Source organism: Homo sapiens, chromosome 8, assembly GCF_000001405.40.
Source record: "Homo sapiens chromosome 8, GRCh38.p14 Primary Assembly".
NCBI classification, from domain to species: Eukaryota; Metazoa; Chordata; class Mammalia; order Primates; family Hominidae; genus Homo; species Homo sapiens.
In genome coordinates, this window is record NC_000008.11 from 102,150,279 (window position 1) to 102,155,558 (window position 5,280).

Genomic DNA, 5,280 nt, shown 5'->3' on the forward strand with positions numbered 1-5,280 from the left:
TGCTGGGTATCACCAGCATTTGCCTTGCAATCGTTTTTTGGCAAATAACCCAAGAATTGGCATGGATGGGGAAATGACCCAAGTTCTTTGAAATCTAAGAGATCTAGATTCAATTCTAGAATTTTCATTTGGACTATCAGGAAAGCAGGTACTCTTTTTCTGCAAGGAGGAACATTTGAACTGAAAAGCAGTTCTGAGTTCTGTGGTTGTCTTGCCCCATAAGAAGAAAGCCTAACAAAGAATGAAACCAACACAGTGGAAGTCAGATCTATGAGATGGAGAGAAACCAGATTCTAGTGACATTATCCAAGCCACTCTATCCAGCTTTCCTTGGAGCTAGATTAACCCTACACCTTCAACAATATTCGTAAGTTATTTTTTTAGTCAAGTAGTTAGAGTCGAGTTTTCTGTCTCAGCTTCAACTTTGACCTGAAAGAGCCCTACCTGATAGATAAGGGTTTCTCTCTCTGGATAGAAATGACTTGAACATGCTTTTAGGTTGAGAGGAGGCTAGTTGAGTAGGAAATTATTTAGAAAACAGTAATATAAGAAAAGCTTTATTTTACTTGCTTATATATTTATTTAGCTCTGGGTAGTACAGATTGTCTTATATTTTATTCCCACTATGTGTACATCCTATTATCATCCAAGGAAAGTGCCTCTGAGGCAAAATAAAAGCTCAATATCCAAAGAATGATTATACACCATGGTCTACTCACTAAAGGCAAAAATCATTTTAAAACATCTTTTTTAATTTCTAGGACTCCTTCATCTCATGTATTCACATGGCCAGCTCCCATTTAGCTTTGAAGAATTAGCTCAATGGTGTCAAACTCTGGAAAGATGCTCCTTTAATTTTCCTCAACCCTATCTTACGAGCTAAATTAGAGGCCTCTATTTGATGTCCCATGTCTAATGCTTATGAGGATCAGAGCAATTTTAACAACCACCATAGAATCACATGATTGCCAAACCTCCAGACTCGATGAGCCCCATTAAACCATGATGGAGACACAGTAAATGCAAGGAAATCAGAGTGGAGAAGAAACTGTGTTACCGTTACCCTCCCAGATAGCCTCTCTCAAACTCTAAGTATGCTAATGAAAGAACCTGTAATTTGCTCCTCCAAAATAACGAAGAGCATTAGAAGTAACTCACTTTCTCTTAATGTTTAGGGTCTGTTTTTATTAATGGCATTTTTGGTCTGACTATACTTATCAAGCTTTGAGGCTAAAGGGAAAATAAGTTGTGCCTAATTTACATGAAGATAGAGGCTTAGGGAGGAATGCTTTCATCTGACTGCATGCAGTATAGTGGAAAGAAAGGATCAGGCATGTACATGCAACCCTACATTTCTGAGTTTTTACTTCTACTCAGTGTGCTTTTGAAAATCAGAACTGGTTAGAGAAGGGAGTTAAACCAACTAACACTGGTCTCTGCCATTCTTTACGAGTTGCCCTTTCAACAAATCTCCTTATATTTTCAAGGGCCTGAAGAGCAATGGCAGAAATTGCAAGAAGCCTGGCAGGATGGTGACATGGGATGCAGGCAAAAGCAAAAGTAAAATTCATAATTGAGTTACACGTGGAAAGTTAGAAAATTGCCCACTTTTAAAAGTATTTTAACTCCCTCTGTCCAACCATTATGAAATCTAGGAGCCACCTGCAAACTATGTGTTCAATTGTTTCCTTCAAATTGACTGTTTCCTAAATCAGTCAGTTTTAACATCCATTACCATTAGCATAGAGTTTGAGAAACTTAGATGTCTTTGAGAAGACATCCAAAATGTGGCAGAATATGACACATGATAATATGTGACACTGACTATGTGAATTATCAAAGGTGAGTACAGTTCTATTTATTCTGCTAAAGTATACTCTGCAGAAATTGTTTATTGAGATGAACTTGGAAAGCAAAGATAAACTATGAGTGCCATCTCTCTAAGCCTAGGTCCTCTGGAAAGATGAGCCTGAGGCAAGGGTGAAGGTATAGATGCTTTCATTGAGAGGTGCAGGCCTAGGAGGAAGTGAAGGAGAAGAAAAGTGGGAGTGAGACAAAGAAAGATGTAAAGCAAGGCTGGATTACTGTGCTGGCTAATCCTTTACAATGAGTCACAAAGAGATGTAGCAGGTCATTGAGCAGGTTAATTTCCTGGAACTATGGGACTTTTCTGAAAGGGCTTCAAAGAAGAACTGTACTGCAGAGAAATCTATAGAAGGGAGAAAGGAAATAGAATCTATCTGCCCAGTTTCTGCATGGCTCCCATTTCCTATTGGTTAAGGTTTACCCCATAGGCAGCTAACTCCCCTACATTGCCAGGCCATGTCATCCAGCCACCTGGTGGCCACTGGAAAATCCAGATTCCACATCCTGCAAGACACCATTCCACTCAGGTCTAGAAAGAGAAGGAGTGACTTGTCGCATGTGAGCTGGTGGAGGGAAGGTACATGAAGCCCTGGGGCTCCAACTTAGGGGACCTGCAAAGGTTTTCGTATTCTCCCTTTAAGATGTGTCCCTGACCAAGGCTGCATTGGGGCAGTTCAAGTTGGAAAATATGTCAGACAACAAACACTAAAGGAACACTCATTAGAAATTTACTTAGTATTAACATAGGTTCTGTGCAGGATATTAAGATGTTTGTAACTCAACTTTTGCCCTTAAAATAACCAGACATGCATAGAGATCAGAGCTCTGGGCTACTAAAGCTATTAAGATTTCCAGGGCAGGATGCCTAAGAAGAGGCAGCTGCACATGGGAAGGGCCCCAGAAGTACGCATAGGATTCACTGCATCTCCTTAGTTATCTAGTGCTGCTCAACAAATTACCCAAAATGTAGCAGCTTAAAATAACACTCATTTATTATCTCCTGGCTTTTGTGGGTCAGGAATCCATTCATGGCTTACCTGAGTCCTCTTCTTCAGGAACTTCTACAAGGCTGAAATCTTCCAGGGCTAGGGTCTCACCTGAAAGCTCAACTGGGGAGGATTCTCTTCCAAATTCACTTTCTTATTGTTGGAAAGATTCAGTTCCTTGAGGGCTGTTGGACTAAGTGCTTGTTCCTTGTTAGCTGTTGGCTTGAGGCTACCCTCAGTTCCTTGCCATATAGGCTTCTTCAACATGGCAGCTTGCTCATCAAAGCCAACAAGTCTGCTAGCAAAACAGAAGCGATGATATGTTATAACCTAATTACAGAAGCAATATGCTATTACCTTTGTTGTATTCTGTTGATTAGAAACAAGTCGTTAGGTCCAGCCCATACTCAAAGGGAAAGGATTCTTTCTGTAAGGGCATGTAGATCAGGAGGTGGAAGGACCATTGAGAGCCACCTTAGAAGTCAGGCTACCATAGTTGGACTGCAAGACAAGATTACCCAGGGCCCTGCAAAGATCACATGTTATAGGGTTCAGAGCTAGGGAAGCCAGAATGAAAAGACGTCACTAATTGCTAGAAAAGCCCTGAATACTTCAAACTTAAACAATACACTTATAAATAACTCATAGATCAAATAAAAAATTACCAGGATAATTAGAAAATATTTTGAACAGAATAAAGTATATAAAAGTATAATATATAAAAATCTATGGGCTGTAACTAAAGTTATAATAAAGGAAAAGTAATAACCTTAACTGTTTATATGAGAGAAGAAGAAAGGTTTAAAATTAATGAAATAACTAAACACCTAGAGAAGTTAGAAAAAGATAAGCAAATTAAACCTAAAATAAGTGGAAAGATGAACATAATAAAGATACAACAGAAATCAATGAAATAAAAAACAGAAATACAGAAAATTAATAAGATCAAAAATTGACTCCTTGTGGCAGAATTCATAAACCCCTAGCAAACCTCAAGAGAAAAATAGAGAAAAGGCAAACTGCCAATATCAGTATTCAAAGAGGATGTCACTACAGAAACCATGGCATCAAAAGTATAGTATAGGAGCAATATGAACAACTTTGTGCCAATAAATTCAATAACTTAGATAAAATGAACAAATTCCTTGAAAAATTCAACTTATCAAGTAACGAATATGTTACATCACAGAAGATCCCCAGGGCCCTGTTTGGCACAAGGTCTGAAACAGGGAAGGGAAAACTGCAAAAAATGCTATAAAGCAAGCTCTTTAGAATAAAAAGAAATGGCATCATATGGTAATTCAGATATACTGGAAGGAATAAAGAGCACCAAAAATAGTAGCCTGTGGATGAATATAAAAACTATAGTCATTGGCTGTGGGGCTCAGGTGCAGCCTGAGCTGTTGGTTCTGCACTGAGATGTTCCAAAGCATTATTAAAAATGTTTGGATCCCCATGAAGCCCTCCTATACCCAAGCATGCCAGGAGATTTGGGTAGGAATGGGGTTGATAAGCATTATTGCTTATAAAATCAGAAGTGCTGATAAAAGAAGTAAAGCTTAGAAAGCATTGAGTCTTGCATCCGCTCATGGTCATTACTAACCAGTTTTACTTAGAGGAAACATCAGTCTGCCTGTAAATTTACACAAGCTGTGCCAGATAGGAACACAGAACATTGCTGTACACTTGCATAAGTGTGGTCTATTTCATGGCATGAGTAAGTGTATCTGTGAGATGCAACACTAAAACAGACTACATGTTTTTTCTTCTCTTAATTTATGTGAAAGACATTTGACCCTCTAAGGCAAACATCATTACACAGGTTGTTAGGTTTAAAATTTATGTCAAAATTATATGATTCCATTTGTATGAAATGTTCAGAATAGGCAAATCCATAGAGACAGAAAATAGATTAGTGGTTTCTAGGTGCTGGGGATAGAGAGGAATAGAGAGTGAGTACTAATGAGTATTGCCTTTCTTTTAGGAGTGAGAAAAATGTTCTGGATTAAATGTTCTGGTTTTGCAACTTTGTGAATATAATAAAAACCACTGAATTATATACTTTAAAGGGGTGAATCATATATATGGTATGTGAATTATATCTCCCAAAAATGTAAGTAGATGCAATATATATGAAAAAAAGCAAAAAGGATGAGAAAAAATTGCAACTACATTATTGCAAGTTTTCTGTATTTTTCCTGAAGTAATTCAGTATAACGTCTAAGAAGACTATAAGTTAATGATGCATATGTAATCCGTAGAGCAATCAATATAAAAATAAAAGTAACTATAGTTAAAAAGCCAAAGCAAAAACCTTCTGCTTCCAATTATGGTAGAGTAACAAGGACTAGACTTAAGCTTTTTTGGTTGGAAAACTGAACGTATGTAACAACTGTTTCAGACATTGGACAATTGACAACACAAGACA

The 5,280-nt window shown here is 37.8% G+C and overlaps 1 pseudogene; it reads left to right on the plus strand.

Annotated features, from left to right (window-relative positions):
- The first annotated feature begins 4,271 nt into the window (after positions 1-4,271).
- On the plus strand, positions 4,272-4,454 carry LOC112268018 (ATP synthase subunit ATP5MJ, mitochondrial-like; annotated as a pseudogene).
- The last annotated feature ends 826 nt before the right edge of the window (positions 4,455-5,280 follow it).